This window comes from Homo sapiens, chromosome 17 (genome assembly GCF_000001405.40).
Source record: "Homo sapiens chromosome 17, GRCh38.p14 Primary Assembly".
NCBI lineage: Eukaryota > Metazoa > Chordata > Mammalia > Primates > Hominidae > Homo > Homo sapiens.
In genome coordinates, this window is record NC_000017.11 from 34,184,312 (window position 1) to 34,207,089 (window position 22,778).

The window sequence follows — 22,778 nt, forward strand, 5'->3', positions numbered from 1 at the left end:
CTCGTATCTCTGTGCCCCGACCGCTTATTTCTGTGCCCCGACCCCTTATTTCCATGCCCCGACCCCTTATTTCTGAGTCCCATCCCTTATTTCCATGCCCCGACCTCTTATCTCTGCGCCCCAACCCCTTTTCCCACTTTTCTGGAAGGTAAGAACCCCCGAACCCCTTCCCTCCGTTTCTCTACTCTCTCTTTTCTCTAGGCTTGCTTCCTTCACTATAGGCAACCTTCCACCCTCCATTCCTCCTTCTACTCCCTTGGCCTGTGTTCTCAAAAACTTAAAACCTCTTCAACTCACACCTGGCCTAAAACCTAAATGCCTTATTTTCTTCTGCAATGCCGCTTGACCCCAATACAAACTCGTCAATAGTTCCAAATAGCCAGAAAATGGCACTTTGAATTTTTCCATCCTGCAAAATCCAAATAATTCCTGTCGTAAAATAGGCAAACGGTCTGAGGTGCCTGACGTCCAGGCATTCTTTTACACATCAGTCCCTTCCTAGTCTCTGTGCCCAGTGCAACTCGTCCCAAATCTTCCTTCTTTCCCTCCCACCTGTCCCCTCAGTACCAACCCCAAGCATAGCTGAGTCTTTCTAATCTTCCTTTTTTACAGACCCATCTGACCTCTCCCTTCCTCCCCAGGCTGCTCCTCGCCAGGCCGAGCTAGGTCCCAATTCTTCCTCAGCCTCTGCTCCTCCACCCTATAATCTTTTTATCACCTCCCCTCCTCACACCTGGTCCGGCTTACAGTTTCGTTCTGTGACTAGCCCTCCCCCACCTGCCCAGCAATTTACTCTTAAAAAGGTGGCTGGAGCCAAAGGCATAGTCAAGGTTAATGCTCCTTTTTCTTTATCCCAAATCAGATAGCGTTTAGGCTTTTTCATCAAATATAAAAATCCAGCCCAGTTCATTGCTCGTTTGGCAGCAACGCTGAGACGCTTTACAGCCCTAGACCCTAAAAGGTCAAAAGGCCATCTTATTCTCAATATACATTTTATTACCCAAATCTGCTCCCGACATTAAATAAAACTCCAAAAATTGGAATCTGGCCCTCAAACCCCACAACAGGACTTAATTAACCTCACCTTCAAGGTGTACAATAACAGAAAAAAGTTACAATTCCTTGCCTCCACTGTGAGACAAACCCCAGCCACATCTCCAGCACACAAGAACTTCCAAACGCCTGAACCGCAGCAGCCAGGCATTCCTCCAGAACCTCCTCCCCCAGGAGCTTGCTACATGTGCGGGAAATCTGGCCACTGGGCCAAGGAATGCCCGCAGCCTGGGATTCCTCCTAAGCCGCGTCCCATCTGTGTGGGACCCCACTGAAAATCAGACTGTTCAACTCACCTGGCAGCCACTCCCAGAGCCCCTGGAACTCTGGCCCAAGGCTCTCTGACTGACTCCTTCCCAGATCTTCTTGGCTTAGCGGCTGAAGACTGACACTGCCCAATCACCTCGGAAGCCCCCTAGACCATCACAGACGCCGAGCTTCGGGTAACTCTCACAGTGGAAGGTAAACCCGTCCCCTTCTTAATCAATACGGAGGCTACCCACTCCACATTACCTTCTTTTCAAGGGCCTGTTTCCCTTGCCTCCATAACTGTTGTGGGTATTGACAGCCAGGCTTCTAAACCTCTTAAAACTCCCCAACTCTAGTGCCAACTTAGGCAATACTCCTTTAAGCACTCCTTTTTAGTTGTCCCCACCTGCCCAGTTCCCTTATTAGGCCGAGACAGTTTAACTAAATTATCTGCTTCCCTGACGATTCCTGGACTACAGCCACATCTCATTGCCGTCCTTCTCCCCAACCCAAAGCCTCCTTCGCGTCTTCCTCTCATATCCCCCTACCTTAACCCACAAGTATGGGACATCTCTACTCCTTCCCTGGCAACTGATCACATGCCCATTACCATCCCATTAAAACCTAATCACCCTTACCCCACTCAACGCCAATATCCAATCCCTCAGCACGCTTTAAAAGGATTAAAGCCTGTTATCACTCGCCTGCTACAGCATGGGCTTCTAAAACCTATAAACTCTCCTTACCATTCCCCCATTTTACCTGTCCTAAAACCAGACAAGGCTTACAAGTTAGTTCAGAATCTGCGCCTTATCAACCAAATTGTTTTGCCTATCCACTCCATGGTGCCAAACCCATATACTCTCCTATCCTCAATACCTCCCTCTACTACCCATTATTCTGTTCTGGATCTCAAACATGCTTTCTTTACTATTCCTTTGCACCCTTCATCCCAGCCTCTCTTTGCCTTCACTTAGACTGACCCTGACACCCATTAGGCTCAGCAAATTACCTGGGCTGTACTGCCGCAAGGCTTCACAGACAGCCCCCATTACTTCAGTCAAGCCCAAATTTCATCCTCATCTGTTACCTATCTCGGCATAATTCTCACAAAAACACATGTGCTCTCCCTGCTGATCGTGTCTGATTAATCTCCCAAACCTCAATCCCTTACAAAAGAACAACTCCTTTCCTTCCTAGGCATGGTTAGTGCGGTCAGAATTCTTACACAAGAGCCAGGACCACACCGTGTAGCCTTTCTGTCCAAACAACTTGACCTTACTGTTTTAGCCTAGCCCTCATGTCTGCGTGCAGCAGCTGCCACTGCTTTAATACTGTTAGAGGCCCTAAAAATCAAAAACTATGCTCAACTCACTCTCTACATTTCTCATAACTTCCAAAATCTATTTTCTTCCTCATACCTGACGCATATACTTTCTGCTCCCTGGCTCCTTCAGCTGTACTCACTCTTTAAGTCCCACAATTACCATTGTTCCTGGCCCAGACTTCAATCTGGCCTCCCACATTATTCTTGATACCACACCTGATCCCCATGACTGTATCTCTCTGATCCACCTGATATTCACCCCATTTCCCCGTATTTCCTTCTTTCCTATTCCTCACCCTGATCACGCTTGATTTATTGATGGCAGTTCCACCAGGCCTAATCGCCACACACCAGCAAAGGCAGGCTATGCTATAGTACAAGCCACTAGCCCGCCTCTCAGAACCTCTCATTTCCTTTCCGTCGTGGAAATCTATCCTCAAGGAAATAACTTCTCAGTGTTCCATTTGCTATTCTACTCCTCCTCAGGGATTATTCACGCCCCCTCCCTGCCCTACACATCAAGCTCGAGGATTTGCCCCCACCCAGGACTGGCAAATTAGCTTTACTCAACATGTCCCGAGTCAGGAAACTAAACTATTAGACCTCTTAGTCTAAATAGACACTTTCACTGAATAAGTAAAGGCCTTTCCTACAGGGTCTGAGAAGGCCACCACAGTAATTTCTTCCCTTCTGTCAGACATAATTCCTCAGTTTGGCCTTCCCATCTCTATACAGTCTGATAACAGACCAGCCTTTATTAGTCAAATCAGCCAAGCAGTTTTTCAGGCTCTTAGTATTCAGTGAAACCTTTATATCCCTTACGGTCCTCAAGAAAAGTAGAACGGACTAAAGGGTCTTTTAAAAACACATCTCACCAAGCTCAGCCAACAACTTAAAAAGGACTGGACAATACTTTTACCACTTTCTCTTCTCAGAATTCAGGCTTGTCCTCAGAATGCTACAAGGTGTACAGGAGCCCATTTAAGCTCCTGTATAGACGCTCCTTTTTATTAGGCCCCAGTCTCATTTGACACCAGACCAACTTAGACTGTGCCCCCAAAAAAACTTGTCATCCCTACTATCTTTTGTCTAGTCATACTCCTATTCACCATTCTCAACTACTCATACATGCCCTGCTCTTGTTTATACTGCTGGTTTACACTGTTTCTCCAAGCCATCACAGATATCTCCTGCTGCTATCCCCAAACTGCCACTCTAAACTCTTGAAGTAAATAAATAATCTTTGCTGGCAGGACTATGCTGAATCTCCTTAGGCACTCTCTAATCAGATGTCCTAGGTCCTCCCAATTCTTAGACCTTTTATACCTGTTTTTCTCCTTCTCTTATTCCATTTAGTTTTTCAATTCATACAAAACCGTATCCAGGCCATCACCAATCATTCTGTACGACAAATGTTTCTTCTAACAACCCCAAAATATCACCCCTTACCACAAGACCTCCCTTCAGCTTAATCTCTCCCACTCTAGGTTCCCACGCCGCCCCTAATCCCGCTTGAAGCAGCCCTGAGAAACATCGCCCATTCTCTCTCCATACCACCCCCAAAAATTTTCGCCGCCCCAACACTTCAACAGTATTTTGTTTTATTTTTCTTATTAATATAAGAAGGCAGGAATGTCAGGCCTCTGAGCCCAAGCCAAGCCAACGCATCCCCTGTGACTTGCACATATACACCCAGATGGCCTGAAGTAACTGAAGAATCACAAAAGAAGTGGAAAGGCCCTGCCCCGCCTTAACTGATGACATTCCACCATTGTGATTTGTTCCTGCCCCACCTTAACTGAGTGATTAACCCTGTGAATTTCCTACTCCTGGCTCAGAAGCTCCCCCACTGAGCACCTTGTGACCCCTGCCCCTGCCCACCAGAGAACAACCCCCTTTGACTGTAATTTTCCATTACCTTCCCAAATCCTATAAAACGGCCCCACCCCTATCTCCCTTCGCTGACTCAGCCCACCTGCACCCAGGTGAAATAAACAGCCATGTTGCTCACACAAAGCCTGTTTGGTGGTCTCTTCACACAGACGCGCATGAAAGTCTCGATCTCCTGACCTCATGATCTGCCCTCCTTGGCCTCCCAAAGTGCTACAATTACAGGCGTGAGCCACCGTGCCCGGCCGACACTCTCTTAAATTAATCACTTTGAATAGTAAAGTTAAAAAAAAAAAATCACCAGCTCATATTAAAAAGCCATTTATGGGCTGGGCACGGTGGCTCATGCCTGTAATCCTAGGACTTTGGGAGGCCGAGATGGGCAGATCACGAGGCCAAGAGATCGAGACCATCCTGGCCAACACGGTGAAGCCCCGTGTCTACTAAAAATACACAAATTAACCAGGTGTGGTGGCGCGTGCCTGTAGTCTCAGCTACTCTGGAGGCTGAGGCAGGAGAATCGCTTGAACCCAGGAGGTGGAGGTTGCAGTGAGCCAAGATCACACCACTGCACTCCAGCCTGGTGACAGCGAGATTCCGTCTCAAAAAAAAAAAAAAAAAACTCATTCATAATCCGACCTTTACCTCCTTTACCTAAATATGTTCAGCTTCACCTGTCTCTCATTCCAGCCTGTTATTTCTCAGCTTTACTGAACTTATATCCATATTCCTCAGAGATGAATGAATTTTCATGCTTTCATGTCTTTTTTCTTCTCACCCAGAATGCTCCTTATTTTCTCTCCGAGTCGTGGACTCTATGCCTGCTCATGTGTCAAGACGTAGCTCAACTTCCAACTTCACTAAAATTATCAACCTCACGGTGGGTTCTCAGCTAGAGTTAGGCCTTCCCATAGCTCTAAATCTCTAGCACTTAACAGACAATATTTTAGATAGTTGGTTTTGCATTCATTGTCTTTATTGGAGTGAAAGCTTTCTAAAGAAAAGGAAGGTACCTAAATATTTAACAGATGTATCAATACCTAAGACTAGACTATGCAAGTGGCTCTCCTGGGTGAATTAATAAATACTCAAATAAATACTTGAATGAAGAGAAGAGCCAAGGAGCACCCACACCAGAATATTCGAGAAAAGTATTTGATAAGATCATTTTGCAAGAGTTTATGAGGTATATCCAGGAAACACATATTAAATGCTATTTGACCACAGATTCCATAAAATTATGCAGAGAACAAAAGAATTATAGATCAAGAACTTCTCCAACAGTTTCTGATGATCTGGTGAAGAAATCAATGTCCACAGTCATGAAATAATAAAAAATAATTCAATATATGACAATTATGAAATTAATTATGAAATTAATAAAATCTTATTAAATTATGAAATTAATAAAATCTGAATCAAAAATCCAAGGGGATTTTTTTATTAATTCTTGACAGAATGAAGTTAATTGGGAAGATCAAAAACAGACGAGCACAATCTCAATAAAAAATCACAGCAGGTATTTGTGTGGTAATTGATAATCTTATACTAAAATTTATATAAAAATCCAAAGACCCAGGAATAGCCAAGGCAACCTTGCAGAAGAATAAAGCTACAGGGCTTATATTACCAGTGAGTAAGATCTATTTTAAAGTTTTAGTAATTAAGACATTTTTGGTATTTGCACAAGAATAGTTAAATTGATAAATGAGATAGAATAGAGACTGGGCATGGAGGCCCATACCTGTAATCTCAGCACTTTGAGAGGTGGAGGCAGGTGGATCGCTTGAGCCCCAGGAGTTTCAGACCAGCCTGAGAAACATGTCAAGGTTCTATATCTACAAAACAAAAACAAAAACAAACAAAAAAAACACAACAATTAGCTCAGGCGTGGTGGCATGTGCCTGTAGTCCCAGCTACTCCAGAGGCTGAAGTGGGAGAATTGCTTGAGCCCAGGAGGTTGAGGCTGCAGTGAGCTGTGACTGCACCACTGCACTCCATCCTGGGTGACAGAGTGAGACTCTGTCTCAAAAAAAAAAAAAAAAATACAGTGGTTACAGTCTTCCACATACATGGCTGCCTGATTTGTGACATACAAAAAAATCATATTTGCTGCCCTTTTGTATGTGTCTTCCTCCATTCAACCTTGTTAGTGAGATTCATCCATATCGTCAAATATAGTTTTAAATCATTCATGCTCATTGCTGTGTAATATTCATTCATACAGTGTGCATCTCTTAGGCAGTGGAGAAAAGACAGGCATCTTAATCAATGGTTCTGGGTCAGTTGGATACCCATATGAAAGGATATATTTTATCCTTCTACCTCACATCATACACAAAAATCAATTGATAGCATTAGGAGATATACCTAATGTAAATGACGAGTTAATGGGTGCAGCACACCAGCATGGCACATGTATACATATGTAACAAACCTGCACGTTGTGCACATGTACCCTAGAACTTAAACTATAATTAAAAAAATCAATTGCAAGTGGATTGCACATCTAAATCTGAAGATAAGAAACATTAAGCTTATATAAGAAAACATGATTATGATATTGGAGACGACAAAGATTTCTTAAACATGTTACCAAAAATGCAACCGTAAGAGAAAAAAGTAATGTATTAGATTGTATTAAAACGTTAATGGTGTCATCAAAGGACACAAAAGAGTGAAAAGGCAACCCAAAGAGTAAAAGATGATATTTACAACATACATATCTAACAATGAACACAAATCCCAACTATATGAAGATCTCCTAGTAGTCAGTTTTTTTTTAAAGCAACTCAATAAAAAGAAGGCAAAAAACTTGAAGATACAGTTACATAGATATAAAAATGACCAATAAAGCTACAAAAATGTGTATGGCCTGATGAGTCATCATGAAAATGGAAATTCAAACCTCAGTATCACTCACACTAGAATAGCTAAATAAATAAGACAGAAAGTACTAAGTGTGGGTAAGGGTGTAGGCAACTGGACATCTTAAATACTGCTAATGGGATTGTAAATTACTACAACCACTCTGGAAAGCTATCTGTGAGTATCTGCTATAAAGAATATATACATACTCTGTGACCCAGTAATTCTACTCCCAGGAATAGATTGAACAGAAGTGCATACATATGCTCACCAATGAATTGCATGCATATGTTCACATAAGGTACTAGAACATTCATAGCAGCATTATTTGTAGTAGTTCCAAGCTTGGAAACTACCCAAATACAAATCAATAGTAGAATGAAAGAATCAATCATGGCATATTTACACAAAGAAATACTATACAGCAATGGGCATGAACAATTTAAAACTATACTCAACAATATGGATGACTCTCAAAAACATAAAGTTGAATGGAAGAAGACAAATACAAAAGGAGAAGCCATATGGTTCTTATTACATAAAGTCCAACAATAGGCAAAACCAATCTTGATCAAAGTCAAGACATCGTCACCCTTGGAGTGGGCATCAGCTGGAAGAGGTTGATGGTTTGATGGTAGGATGGTGCTTCTGGGGTGCTGGTAATGCTGTATTTCCTGATTTGGCTTAGGCTGACACAGTCAGTCTGTGAAAATTTATTGGGCCATTCACTTATGAAATGTGGACTCTTCCTATGTATATTACACTTCAATAAAACATTTAAAACAGTTTTTTAAATTTTTATGTAAGGAAACAAATATTAAAACATATAAACCTACAATAATGTAAAAAGTGTTGTGTTGCCACAAGACTAGGAATATAGATCCATGGAACGCAATGGAAAACCAAGAAAAATAGCTTGGTAGATTTAAGAACTAAGTATACGATTAAGATGAAATTTGGGATCAGCAAGAAAAAAGGGAATTCACCAACAACAGTGTTAGGACAAATTTAGTAATTTGTTGGAAGGAAAAAAAAATACCTTCTTTAAACCATATACTAAAAAATGTCCAGGCCAGGGGTGGTGGCTCATGCCTGTAATTCCAGCACTTTGGGAGGCTGAGGCAGGTGGATCACTTGAGATCAGGAGTTTGAGACCAGCTTGGGCAACATGGCGAAACCCCATCTCTACTAAAATACAAAAGAAATTAGCTTGGCATGGCGGCGGGCGCCTGTAATCCCAGCTACTCCGGAGGCTGAGGCAGGAGAATCGTTTGAACCCGGGAGGCGGGGGTTGCAGTGAGCCGAGATCGAGCCATTGCACTCCAGCCTGGCGACAGAGCGAGACTCCGTCTCTACAAAACAAAAACAAAAATAACCACTACAAAGATAAAGTGTTTTAAGTAAAACTAAAATGTAAATTAAAGATTGGAATGAAGGATTACTTATGACAAGAGATTACTGCGCTTTAATCCTAAAGAGCTCTTTTTTTTTTTTTTCTTTTTGAGACGGAGTCGCACTCTTGTTGCCCAGGCTGGAGTACAACGGGGCAAATTCAGCTCACTGCAACCCCCGCCTCCCGGTTTCAAGCGATTCTCCTTCCTCAGCCTCCGGAGTAGCTGGGATCACAGGCATGCACCACCATGCCCGGCTAATTTTGTATTTTTAGTAGAGACGGGGTTTCACTCTGCTGGTCAGGCTGGTCTTGAACTCCTGACCTCTGGTGATCTGCCCGCCTCGGCCTCCCAAAGTGCAGGGATTACAGGCGTGAGGCATCATGCTGGGCCATAAAGAGCTCTTTCTAAACAACATTATTAATATTAATAATAAAATAAATGCTCTTAAAAATATGTACAAAGTATAAAAGCATACATCCTATCCTACAAAGACACAAAATGTCTAACAAACTCATGAAATTCTTTCATCTCAGTTAGTAAATAAATACTAATAAGGACGGTAATGAGATAGTATTTTTCATACATCAATGGCATTTTTTATGATACCATCCAATATTGGTGAGGGTGAGATAAAATGATGAGATTATTGTTTAGTACTTTCTTTCTGAAAGATAATCTGGCATATATATATATAAAGCCATAAAATATCTATACCAATTGGCCTGATAAATTTACATCTAGAACTTATCTCTAAGGAAATAACTGGAGATACAAAGAATTATGTAAAAAAAGATGCATTGCAGTGCTGCTTATGATAATAAAGAAGAGTTGAAACAAACTAAATGTATGAGAAGAGGAGATGAGTTAAATAGCCACGGGATGGAAAAGTTAAATTTAAAGACAAACAAAAAATGCTGAAGACCATTAGGGTCCAGAAGAGGCCACCAGAACTTCCCCCAGACCTTTGGGGATTCAGGATCACACCCTCCTTTGCCGTTAGGGAGATTTCAGTGGAAAAGTTTTAAGAAGCCCTTCTCGGCATGACGATCTGCCACCCTGAGATTTTAAAACCTGGGGGAGTTGTTTACATGCAGAATGTTCCATTTGCAATGTTTACATGAATATTCAATGTATTAAAGTGACACATTTTAGAAAAAAAACCCCAATTCTCCTTAAACTTTAAGGTTGACTTGTATTTTTTTCTATTAATATGCTTAATAAAATAACACAAATAATAAATCATCAAGAGTCATGTTTTAAAAGTCAACTAATGACATGGGAAAATGGGCTGTGTTAAGGAAAAAAGACAGGACACGATACATGTACAGTATATTTTGATACACACATACACTCCAAATTGTCTAAGGAGTGATGAGATTAATGGGTGACTTTCAATGTTTTATTCTATAATTTTGGATTATTTGAATCTTGAAAAATGTGTAGCTGTCACTTTTACAAGTATAAAACAATAAAGCTATTTTCATTTTGAAAAGAAATTAAGCAGAAATGAGAAAAATGTTATAGATCTTGATTTCCGTTTTTATTTTATTTTTGGTGATGGAATTCCTTTTTTAAATGCTATGTTACACGAGAACTGAATCTTTGAACAAATAAAAGGAGCTCTGTTGAATGAGATTGACAGATACAGACCCCAACTGCTTGCCCTCTTCCTGCCTTTCACCTGACCTTTATATTCTCCCCTACTCTGGTCCCCAACACCTGAAGCATCTACCAAGAGCCTCAAGGCATCACAGAACGCAATTGTAAAACTGTTATTCTACTAGATGACCATTCATTGGCATAGTAAGCCTTTCATGATATATTCCAATACTCCATAAGTGTTAAAAGTAGATTATAAAATAATTTGTAGGGTAATATCCTATGTTTTAAAACTCCACATGTGCTATATACAATTATATGTGTGTCTGTATATGTGTGTATATAGACACACACATGCACACACATATATATGCATGGGTGTATATATATAGATGTATATATACATCTAAATAAACAAAAAACGTTTAAAAAATAGTAAAAAGAAATACACTAAAGTGTAAAGTGTCGTATCAGAGCCATGGCTGTATTTTTTTGTATTTTTGTTTTTATATTTATTTTTATATTTTATAAAAACATTTAATTTTATATATGTGGAATACACACATATATATGTGTGATATGTGTATATATAGAGATGTATATATTTAATGTATATATACATCTAAACATTTAGTTACTAAAAAGTAGTAAAAAGAAATACACCAAAGTCTAAAATGTTGTTGTATCAGAGCCATGGCTATATTGCTTTTGTAATAAGAAAAAAATGCATTTTAAGGCTGAGCAGGATTTGAGAGAGTGATTTACTCTTGATGAAGTCTAGTGTGATTTTTCTGCCAATAAGAGATCCAGGTGACATTTGAGAATTATGGGTTTAGGTCTAATTACTGTTTTTTTAGTAGCAGTAGTTTATTCAGGCATATTTTACATGCATTAAAATTCTCGAATCCTAAGTGTAGAGCCAGATTATTTTTGGTACACATATAGTCACATGAGTATAATTATTGTTTTGTTGTTGTTCCTCTCTTTAATCTTTATATCTGATTCTGGATGATGCTTAAAAAAAAAAAACAGCTTTATTGAGGCATGCCTGACTTACAATCAACTGCATATATTTAAAGTGTACAATTTGATCAGTTTTAACATGGAAAGAAGAGTCAGTTATTCCTAGGTTTCAATCTTGGATATGGATCTTTCTTGACCTTAGATAAATTATTTAATCTCCTTAAGCCTCACTTTTCTCACCTGTGGCTGATATACTTACCTTGCAGGATTGTTGGGAAGACTAAGTAATGTGTGTGACTCTTCAGTACAGCCCCTGCCATACAACAACCATCCAATAAGATAATGGCTGTTGTGGATCTCATCTGTTTCCAAACAGGGAACCTAAGATTCAATGAGGTTAGAAACTTGTTTACATTCCCACAGCTGGGCTGAGAAAGCAGCTGACTGCATGACCTGACTCTTCTTGCTGGAAACTCTTAAATGTGTCTTCTCCTGAGGGGCTCCCCCGAGCAGTGTAAGAATGGCCTTGTACTGGCCGTGAAACTGGGAGAACAGGTATCTCCTCAGCCCTGTTGCTCCCTTGCCTGTAACTCTGACTTCACAATGAGTGATAGCAACCAATCCGCCATGTTGCCCCTGGCAAATTGCCCAACTCACCAACCTCAGTTTCCTCATCTGTTAAAGGAAGAAATTACATCAATGGTGGCACCTTCTGGAGGCTACTGAGGGATCACATAAGATAACAGTTAAAATCAATTCTTAAAGCTCTGCAATTGTTCAATAGTTAGCTCTTTGAAAGAAAAGAATGTTGGAATTTTGTAGCAGAAAGGACCTTGAGAATCATCTCGTGCTAGATTTCTAGTCCCCGCTAGTGATGTACTAGTAATCATGTTAATTATCAAAACACCTCCCATATGTCAAGGGCCTACTAAGAGCACTGCTAGGCAGTTTTTCAGGCATCACTTCATCCATTCTTCACCACAACCAGGCTACGTAGACAATATCAACCACACTTTACAGATAAGAAACCAAAATCCTAGAGTTTAATTGTCCAAAGTTACAAGGTTAAGAATCTTCCTAGTCCACAGCTTGCCCTTCTATAACGGTATATCTCAAATTCTTTCAGGAAAGAAAGAACAAGGAAACACTTCTTAGCTCATCTCATAACTGCAGCAAGACCTTTATAACAAAGCCTGTCAAGAAGACTACAAGCAATGAGAATTATAGACCAATATTACTCATATAGACACAAAAATTCTTGAAAAATAAAAGCAAATTGAAACCAGCAATATATGAAAAACATATCACAACCAAGTAAGGTTTATCCTAGAAATGTAAGGATGTTTTGACACTTAAAAGTAAATTAATATAATTCTCCACATGAACCAAAAAAGGAGAAAAATCATGTAATGATTATCTCAAAATATGCAGAAAAGATTGTTTGATGAATTCAACATTAATCCATGATTGAAAACAAATGTACCAGTAAATGAAGAACAAAAAATAATGTTCTCAGTCTGATAAAAGTCAATAATTTTAAAATCTGCAGGTAACAAAATACATAATAGTAATACAGTAAATACTTTCTATCAAAGACTGGTACCAAAACAGGGTATCTGCTGTAACCACTTCCATAATGTAGTGCACTGGCTATCCTAGCCAGCATAATAACACAAGATAAAGAAATAAAAGGTATACAGATTGTACAGGAAGAAAAAAAGCTGTCCTTGCTCATAAATAGCATAATCTTTAACGTATAAAATCCTAAAGGAATCTAAAATATGAGAACTAATAGGGGAATTTAGCAAGGATTCAGCATACAAGATCAATATACAAAAATCTATTTTAATTATGTTTACTAGTGACAAAATAAAAAATGATAAGGAATATCATTTACAATAGCATCTAAGGGTATAAAATTCTTAAGGATGAATTTTACAAAATATGTACAAGATATCTACACTTAAAACTTTAGGAGAAATTAAAGAAAACATAAATAATTGGAAAGCTATACCATGTTCATGGAATAGAAGCTTAAATATCAATTCCGTCAATTTACCAGTTCAAAGCAATACAGTGAAAATCCCAGCTGATCTTTTTATAGAAACTGATAAGCTATATAATTCATTTGAAAATGCAAAGGACCTACAATAGTCAAAATAATTATGAAAGAAGAATAAAGTTAGATACTTTCAAACTGATTCAGGGGTTACTATAAAATTACAGAAATCAAGACACAAAGTGGCATGGACATAGTAAAATATATCAATGAAATAGAACAGAATTCAGAAATAGACCCATATATGTATGCTCAGTTGACTCTGTTGAAGGTAATTCAATGAAAAAAGATAGTCTTTTCAATAAATGGTGCTGGCTCAATGGATATATATTTGAAAACAAAACAAAACAAAAGCCTCACATCATACCTTACACTGTACATCATTAAGTAAAAATTTAAATCACAATTACAGTCATGCATTGAATATACCATAATGGTCCCATAAAATTATAATATTGTATTTTTACTGTACTTTTTTAATGTCTAGATACGTTTATATACATAAATACTTTCTGCTGTGTTATAACTGCCTACAGTATTCAGCACAGTAACACGCTGTATGGTTTGTAGCCTAGGAGCAAGAGGGTGTAGCAGTAGGCTATACCATCTAGGTTTGTGTAAATACACTCTATGACATTTGAACAATGATGAAATTGCCTAACAATCCATTTCTCAGAATGTATTCCTGTCATTAAGTGACACTTGACCATGTAAAGTTTTTAAAAGAAAACACAGGAGAGTATCTTTGCAACCTTAGTTAGACAAATATTTCCTGAAGAAGACATAAAAAACACTAATGAGAAGAGGAGAGGACAGGAGAGGAAAGGAGGAAAGAAGAAAAAAGAAAGAAAGAAACAGAGAGAGAGAGAAAAGAAAGAAAAGAAAGAAAGAGAAAAGAAAGAAAGAAAGAAAAAAGAAAAAGAAAGAAAAAGAGAAAGAAAGAAAGAAGAAAGAAGAAACAGAAAGGAAGGAAGGAAGGAAGGAAGGCAGGGAGGGAGGAAGGAGAAAAAAGAAAGAAAGAAAGAAAAGAGGAGGAGAAGGAAGGAAGGAGAAAGGGAAAGACAGAGAAAGGAAAGAAAGGGAGGGAGGGAAAAGAAAAGACAAGAAAAAGAAGTTGCTACATTGGACCTTAACAACACTGAAAACTTCCCTTTGAAGACACTAATGTGAAATTGAAAAGACATGCCACACGATGGAGAAAATACATACATCTGACAAATGACTTATATTCAAAATATAAAAGGAATTCTTACAAGTCAATACTAAAGAGGGCAAAATAACTCTAATAGCCACTTCCTAAAAAGACACACAGATGATCAATAAGCACCTGAAAAAATGATCAGCATTGCTAATCATCAACAAATTGCAAGTTCAAACCACGATGTGATGTAACTTCATACATTAAAATAGCTAAAAGTTAAACAAAGAAAACTAGCAAGCTCTGGTGAGCATGTGGACAATCGGAATTCTTGTAGTAGGTACGTAAATGGCATAATTACTTTGGAAAAATGTTTGTCAGTTTCTTACACAGTTAAACATGCATCTACCTGCGACCCATCAATTTTACTTCTGGAAATTCGCCCAAGATAAATAAAAACCACACAAAGGACTCACAAAGTTCACCCAAAGACTTATACACAAACGTGCCTGCAGTTTTTTGCACCACAGCATAAATCTGGAAACAGTCAAAAAATCTATCAAGAGGATGGATAAATGAATTATGTATTTATTCACTGAAATACCACTTAACAATAGAAGAAAACAAACTGCGGATACCTACAAAAGCATGGATAAATTTCAAAAACAATTTGTTGTGCTAGAGAAGCTAGACACAAAAGAGTGTATACTGTACACTTCCGTTTATATAAAGTCCTTGAAAGGGCAAAACAAACTATAGCAAGAGAAGTCAGATCAAGGATTGCCTGGGGTAGGTAGGAAGTGGTGAAGATTGACTACCAAGCGCCATGAGAAAACTTTGTGGGATAACAGAAACGTTCAATATTTTGACTGGGGCGGTGGTTCCACGTGCATATACAGTTGTCAAAACTTATCAATGTGTACATTTAAAGAGCATGCGTTTTGTTGTGTGAAAATAAATTGTATGTGAATAAATGTGATTTTAAAAAATAATAAAGTTCTCCACATATTTCTTAGGTCCCTTAAAGAGTGAGCACTGCTTGTCAGTGCCAGAGCCTCTGTCTCATTAATCTTTTAATCGCAGTCTATACAATATCTGGCACTTGGTAAGTGCTCCCCAGGTAGAGTTTGAGAGAAGGTAGGTCGGGAGAGCACGCATTGTTGGAGGGGTGTGAGGAGGAACAGAACACAAGCAGGACTAGACAAATATGCTCTTCTGCTAGAAACCTCTTTCACCATAAGGTGGCAGCAGAGAGCACCTGGCAATGTCTTTACCTACTTAATCCAGCAGGTGACAGCAGACCCACACTAACCTCTACACGAAGTTGCATTTTCCCCTCTCTTTCCTACGGTTACCACAATCTCAGCCCAGCCACTCCGCCAGGCAGAAAAGGGAGACTTAAATGGAAAAGAATAAGAACATACCCATGATCCCCATATATGACGGGCACTGTTCTCCATGCTTAATAGGCAACATGTAATTATACTTAATGTAATATCCATGCTTAATAAACAGTATTTCATTTCCATGCCCATCCTTTATCATGGGTATGATTTTCTTTGTTGTAAAGACAAGTAAACAAAGCTTCAGAGAAGGAGAACATGTTCCTAATCACGGATCTAGAAGTGATAGCGATGGAGTTTGAGTCTGCTTTTTCTTTCCATGTCATCCTGTCCAAACCTATAGACCAAAATGATCCATACAGAGGTTATGTATTGGTGTTCACTGCAGCAGTGTTCTAACTGCTCATGTGCATTAGCTCATGTAATCTTCACAACGAGTTGAGGTAGGAACAGTTGTTATCCCTATTTATTTTATTTATTTATTTATTTATTTATTTATTGTGTTTTTGAAACAGTGTTACTCTGTCACCCACTCTGGAGTGCAGTGGTGCGACCATAGGTCACTGCATCCTCAAACTTCCAGGCTCAAGCAATCCTCCCACCTCAGCCTCCAGAGTAGCTAGGGCTACAGGTGTCAGCCATTGTGCCTAGCCTGGTTATCGCCATTTTAAAGGTAGGCAGTGACACTGAGACACTGATAGGTTAATGAACTTGTAAAGTTCACATCATTAGTAAAAGCTGCAGCTGCCACTGGAGTTCAGGGTCTGACCCTGAACCTTAATCCTTCACTGCAGAACTAGCTACCAAGTGACCACTTTGACGAGCCTTGAGGAAAAGGCGGAGGGGGCTTTAGCACACACTCAGCTAACGAAAGTGTGCCGGTTCATTTCCCACAGCTCCACACAAACTCCCAGGGGTAGTAAAGAATAGCTTCTCCCTCCTCTGTGTCCCTGAGAAGTCCCAGGGGCATTCAGAGATTTACTGTCATCCCTGTCCAACCCATAGGAGTCTTCTAAGACCCATGCTTCTTCACCCATCTAGCCAGCCAGCCTTTATTGAGTACCTACTGAATGCCAAGCCTTAATTATGAAAACACAGAGCCTTTCTTCAAAGAGCTTTCATACTGAGGGGAAGATCACATGCAAAAGCAAGCAAAAGCAAAACTGCAGAGAGATACTTCTGCTGGTGACTAATTACCATGTGGATGGCGCAGAATTTCTGTCTAGTCAGGGAGGACTTCCTGTAGGAGGGGAGGTCTTCCACTGAGACTTAGAGGGTGAGTAAGGCTTGAAGAGATGGAGAAAGAAGTCAGGATACAGTCTTGGCCTGAGTGAAGAGGTTTAGTGAGAATAGAGAGGTCAGCTAGGCCAGAGGGAGGGTCTTGGGAGGAATAGCTGAAAATACAACTGGAGGGGTTGGTTGGGGGCATATTGTGGAAGGTCTTGAGGGCTCAGATGAGAGCCTTTTTGTATCTCTTAAACTGATGGCTTATGAATGGCTGGAAGCCATTCAAAGTGCATAGAAAGAGAGTGGCAAGAGGAAGCCAGTTCCTAGGAAATTAACATAGGCAAGCCTGTGCAAAAAGGAATGGAACTGGGGAGCCTGCAGGGGCAAGAAGAAGGGACCTAGTCCATGTGGAATGTTTCCTATGTGTCAAGTACTTAGTATTTAGCCTACGTTATGACAGCTAATTCTCCGTAGAGCCCTGAAAGATCTGTGCAGTTATCATCTCTGGTTTATAAATGACTAAAATGAGACACAGTGAGGTTAAACATGTTTCTCAAGGTTACCTGACTAAAACCAAAAAAGCTGAGTTTCAAACTCCCACAACCTAACACCAAAGCTCGCTTTCTTAACCACTATGCTCGACTGCCTTTATATCATGGGTCATGCAAAATCCAACCTAAGTCTAAGAGATATTTAACCTCATCTGAGACATCTATCAGGTTGGAAAACATTTAGGGCTCTTCCCTGAAAGATGCCACTGTGCTCAAAATAGGCAATGTCTCTAAACGAATAATTAGAGAGGCATTCTCAGTGTTAGAAGTGTGGAAAGCTGAGGACCATGCCTGGCTTGTGAATTCAGAGGCTATAGTAATAAATACTTGATAGTGTTTATTCTTTTAAGAGGCTGATGGGAATCACAGTGGCCCTCAGGAGAGAGAAGCCATCAGAGAAGGGCAGCAGTGGTGCCAATGCTAAACACCTCCATCATCTCTTCCTTGAAAGGCAGGGAGGGCATAAATACCTTGCTGCCACACTGGAGGCGCTCAGGAAGACCTGGAATAATTGGAGAGAAAGCACTCCTAAAAGCAAGTAGAAACTGCCTGCAGCTCTTTTGGTGTGGTTGGATGTGGTTGCAGATTTATCTGGCTTATCTTCTCAGGCATAGAATAATTGCTGTCCTGCAGGGCAAGCTCCGAAGAGATTTCCCCAGAAGCAAGCAGAGTCCTGTCTAAAGCAGAAATAGCCATGGCATAGCAGCAGCACCACCCCGCGGAGTTAGCTACTAGCGCTGTCACGCATGTTGGAGCTACTGCAGGAAGAGGTGGCAGCATGGGGGGAAAGAATGGGAGGTATCAGGTCTGCATGGAAGAAAACTGGAAACAAAGCCACTGGCTCGTGAGAGTTTGAAGCTCATGAGAATTTAGGGAAAACTTCCACATACACGGCTCTGTACTCTTCAGCTTTCAGAGCTCCAGAAGATCAGAGTCCAGGGTGGAATCTGTCATTGAGAGAAGAGACTTGGAAGACAGTGGCTGCAGGGAGGAAAGTGATGGCATTGTAGTGATGGAGAGCTTAGCCCTTGTCTGAATGAGGCTCTGACAGGTGTGGTCACCTATGACAAACCCGTGGGTAATGTATACAAGAAGGCTGATAGTTGTGGCACTGAGCCATCTTCTAAAAAGACCACATTTGAAGGGAAGAAGAAACCTTGCTCAGTGAGATTAATCAAGCAAGGACTTCTTGGTTAGGGAAGGCAAACTGTTTTGATGCATTGGTCAGGATAGGCTAGGTTGTGCTGCAGTAACAAGCTATCCCCAGACTTCAGCAGTTTTTAACATAAATGTTCCTTTCTCACTCATCCAAAGCACCTTTCTGGGCAAGGACTCTGTTTTTCATATTCCATCAGGGACCCAGCATCTGGGATGTCACCAGTTGCTGAGTCAAGGCAAGAAAGAACTAAGTGTCCTGGGCTTTAACGGGAAGTGATATCACTTCTAGCCACGGATTGGAACTAGTCACATGGACCCAATTAATGCAAGGGCAGCTGGAAGGTGTCAAGGAGCAGAGTGGGGTCTGGTGAGCACCACCTTCTCTGGCGTGCTTAGCAGAGTCTGGTGTCTGTCATTCCAAGAAATCTCTGACTGAGCTCCTAAGGATCTATGACTTATGAGCCCCTGGGGGACTCCAAATAAAAACTAAAAGAATCATTTTACTAAGAATTCTGTGAGGCATTGAGGTAGAGCCACACTGCCTGGACACTGCTTCTTTGGACAAGCCTCACACAAAGAGGGAAGATGCATGCCCTCTTCCTCAGAAACAACTGTACATCATGGCATTCAACATACCAGGAGCAGTGGCACCAGTGATCCCCAACAGAATGCCACTAGCCTTCTCAGAGCAGAGGCAGAGCCTGGCATAAATGGATGTGTCTGTTTGAGTGTTGGCAGCACATGAGAGCCCCACTGGGTCTGATTGTGCCTGGGGACTATTTCAGAAAGCTAAGATCTTTGTTATGCATGTGGAGAACAAGAGCTGGAGATGGTGACCTCCTATTGAGTCTAATAAGACTGGTAACACTGATTGGATTATGTCCATATTACAGATGAGGACCTTGAGGTTTGGGGAAATTAACGGCCTTTCCAAAGTCACCTGGTTAATGCATGGCAGAGCCAGAGCCTGTTGACCCTATTGCATGATTTGAAATCATCATGTTTGGGAGGCATGCACTGTGTAAGAAGACAAGGAACTGGAGCCAGGATGCCAACTTCCTGAGTGACCTTGGGCACATTATTTGAGGGCCTCCATTTCTCTATTTGTAAAGAGTAAAGCTGGATGAGATGTCTCAAAGTCTTTTCTGTTCCCACTGAAGGTCTGTTGCTGCAACCCCATTGGAGCTGATGACAGACTCCATCAGCTGGAAGTCTGCTCAACCTGCTCCACCTGCTCTACCACCTCCAGTACCTGGAAGTCCAAAATTAGGAGAACAGAGCCCACGGCCTCATGCCACCACACCTGCTTTCACCAGCTCCTGGAGAAGTTGGACAGCTAGAGAAGGGAAAGCATGCTGGGCTGGAGCCCAGTGGGGTCACACTGTGGGCTCCCTGCTACTGTCCTCTGCTCCAACCTGGCCAGCCACCAGCTCGGCCCTGGGGTGGGGAGAGGTGGCATCAACAGTCAGGAGCTGCAGCCTGGGGGCTGCCCTGCCCTGCAAGGCTTCTTGCTGTATGTCATTCTTGCTGTATGTCCTTGCATGCGGCCTGGCCCTGCCTTAAGCAGGGGCCTGCTCCTGACAAGCAGCTCAGCTAGGGAGGAGAGGCCATTGCAGCAGATGGGCGGATGAAGACCAGGTGGGAGCATGAGGCCAGATCACGAGAGTCCTGAGCCCCCCATGGAAGACCGTTCCAGGCCATCCCTGGCCCTGAGTGTCATCTCCCACTATCCCTGTCACTAAGGTCCCCCATAAGTTTGACTTTGCAAGCTCCCTCCCCGAGATTTAGGCATCCTTGGGACTTAGCTCCTCTCTCTAGCACCCGCGTGCACGGAGTCCTCCCCATCGCCGGAGCATGAGTCCATGCTTGAGACTAAGCCTTCTCCCCATGCCTGGCACTGAGTGCCATCCACGTTATGATGTGCAACTGAGCCCTGACATTGAGTGGCCTTTACCTACCTGACACCTAGCACCCCTGATGTCCCATAGTTAGTGCTTCCCTGATAGAAGAATGCCTCTTATCCTCCTCAGCAGGTGGCCTCCCTCCCACTTTGGCAGTCTCTTGCTGTGACCCTAGCCCCACTTGGCGTGTCATCTCACCATTACAGCCTTAGCTCCTCTGTTCAAATGTAGCCAGCACCTACTGAAGTTGTACCATGTGACAGTGATGTTCAATGCTCTTGTTAAACACACAAACCAGGCTCCCAAGCTTCTGTCTGTGCCCTTTCTCCTCTACTGCATGCCCTCATTCCCCTCGGCACACTGAATTCTCCCTGGGTAGCCTCTGCAGTTCTGGGAGAACCAGTACCCATCAGTGCTCTAGGGCTCCCAAGTCCTGCAGCCTTCTGGGAATGCCTTTCCTTTCCCATCTGCCATCACACTAATGATAATAGTCGGCCACCTCCAGGATGCCCTAGGATTCCCAAGGTATTACATTCTTTGTGGCTTTTTTCACTTCTGAGTCAGAAAGGCTACTCTGAGCTTTCCCTCTCACCTCTGAACACTTCTGCAAGCCAGACTTGAACCCAACATTTCCACCACCTTCCTCCTGGGCCTTCCCTACTGCAAAGCTAACTCAAGGTTGGGTGATGTCACTTGTATCATGAAGGTTTCAGCAATTGCCATGTGGGAGAGAAAACAGCTGAATGTTAAATACCAGGTTCCATTCTTGAGTCAATGGTCACCTTAAACCCCAACCTGCCCTAGGAACAGAGCCCCTTCTGCCATCTCTTTCTTTTTTTTTTTTTTTTTGAGACAGAGTCTTGCTCTTTTGCCCAGGCTGCAGTGAAGTGATGTGATCTCGGCTCACTACAACCTCCATCCCTTGGGGTTTAAGCGATTCTCCTGCCTCAGCCTCCAAAGTAGCTGGGATTTCAGGTGCCCGCCACCACACCTGGCTAATTTTTGTACTTATAGTAGAGACACAGTTTCACCATGTTGGCCAGGCTGGTCTCGAACTCCTGACCTCAGGTGATCCACCCGACTCAGCCTCCCAAAGTGCTAGGATTACAGGCATGAGCCACTGCACTCAGCCTCTGCCATCTCTTCCTTCCCTTGGGACCCACTCCAGCACTTACGCCCTTTAATAGAAACCAAAATGCCACTCACCCAAAAGTAACCTCAAGCAAGGAAGTTGTCCTTCCACTTTCTTACCCCCAGAAATGACCTCTTTATTTCTCACCCTCCCCTTCCTCATGAGGCCTTGAGATCTGAAACTGCTGAACAGCAGGGGCCCTGAAAGTGTTTTTCCAAATGGAATAACATGCTTCCTTCCTCATCCAGTGAGCTAGAAAGTGGCTGCAGTTTGTTTGCAGTAGCAGTTTTTTGTTTTTTATTTTTTACCGCTGCACATACATTTTCAAAGACATGGACCTCACTGACCCTCCCAGCATCATTTGGCTTCAGGCCACATCACCTACACCACTTCTTGACAGAGCCAAGAGTGATGCTGGAAGGGGAAGCAGGAAGCAGAAGAAGAAAGGGACCCAGAACAGTGGAATGCAGGAGCTCAGGGGCCACGCAGGAGTGTGGTTCTGCGTCTGGCCCAGGCACATCACACCTGCCTTGGGCATAGTATCCTCAAACCTGCTAGTTGAGGGGCGGGAAAAATTCACAGAATATTTTAGTGATTTCTTGCTCAGATAATCTGAGATTTGCCTCTAAATCATGAAAGTGAGCCTGAGGCCAAGCATCAGGCCTTCAGGGAATTGAGATTGGACACAATGATAAACTTGAATTCCCAGCCCAATAAACTTATCTCTCTGGCAGGAACTTGCAGAGGCAAGTATTCCAGACCAAGCTTTGAAGGAACACAGTGGAATAAGAAAGCAAGAAAATAAAAAGTTGCTGTGTATCACTTGTATGCCAAGTAATATTCATCTATTATATCATAGCATTATAAAATTGAGATATAATTTATACTATGCCATAATATTCATCCCTTTAAAGTGTACAGTTCAG

The 22,778-nt window shown here is 41.7% G+C and overlaps 2 annotated features.

Moving 5' to 3' along the window:
* Positions 19,797 to 20,298: an enhancer, noted in NCBI's record as "H3K4me1 hESC enhancer chr17:32531127-32531628 (GRCh37/hg19 assembly coordinates)". NCBI's record gives its function as "activates a minimal SCP1, AML or CMV promoter by ChIP-STARR-seq in naive and primed H9 embryonic stem cells {active_cell/tissue: H9 hESC(naive and primed)}" and the evidence as "EXISTENCE:reporter gene assay evidence [ECO:0000049][PMID:30033119]".
* Positions 20,299 to 20,798: an enhancer, noted in NCBI's record as "H3K4me1 hESC enhancer chr17:32531629-32532128 (GRCh37/hg19 assembly coordinates)". NCBI's record gives its function as "activates a minimal SCP1, AML or CMV promoter by ChIP-STARR-seq in primed H9 embryonic stem cells {active_cell/tissue: H9 hESC(primed)}" and the evidence as "EXISTENCE:reporter gene assay evidence [ECO:0000049][PMID:30033119]".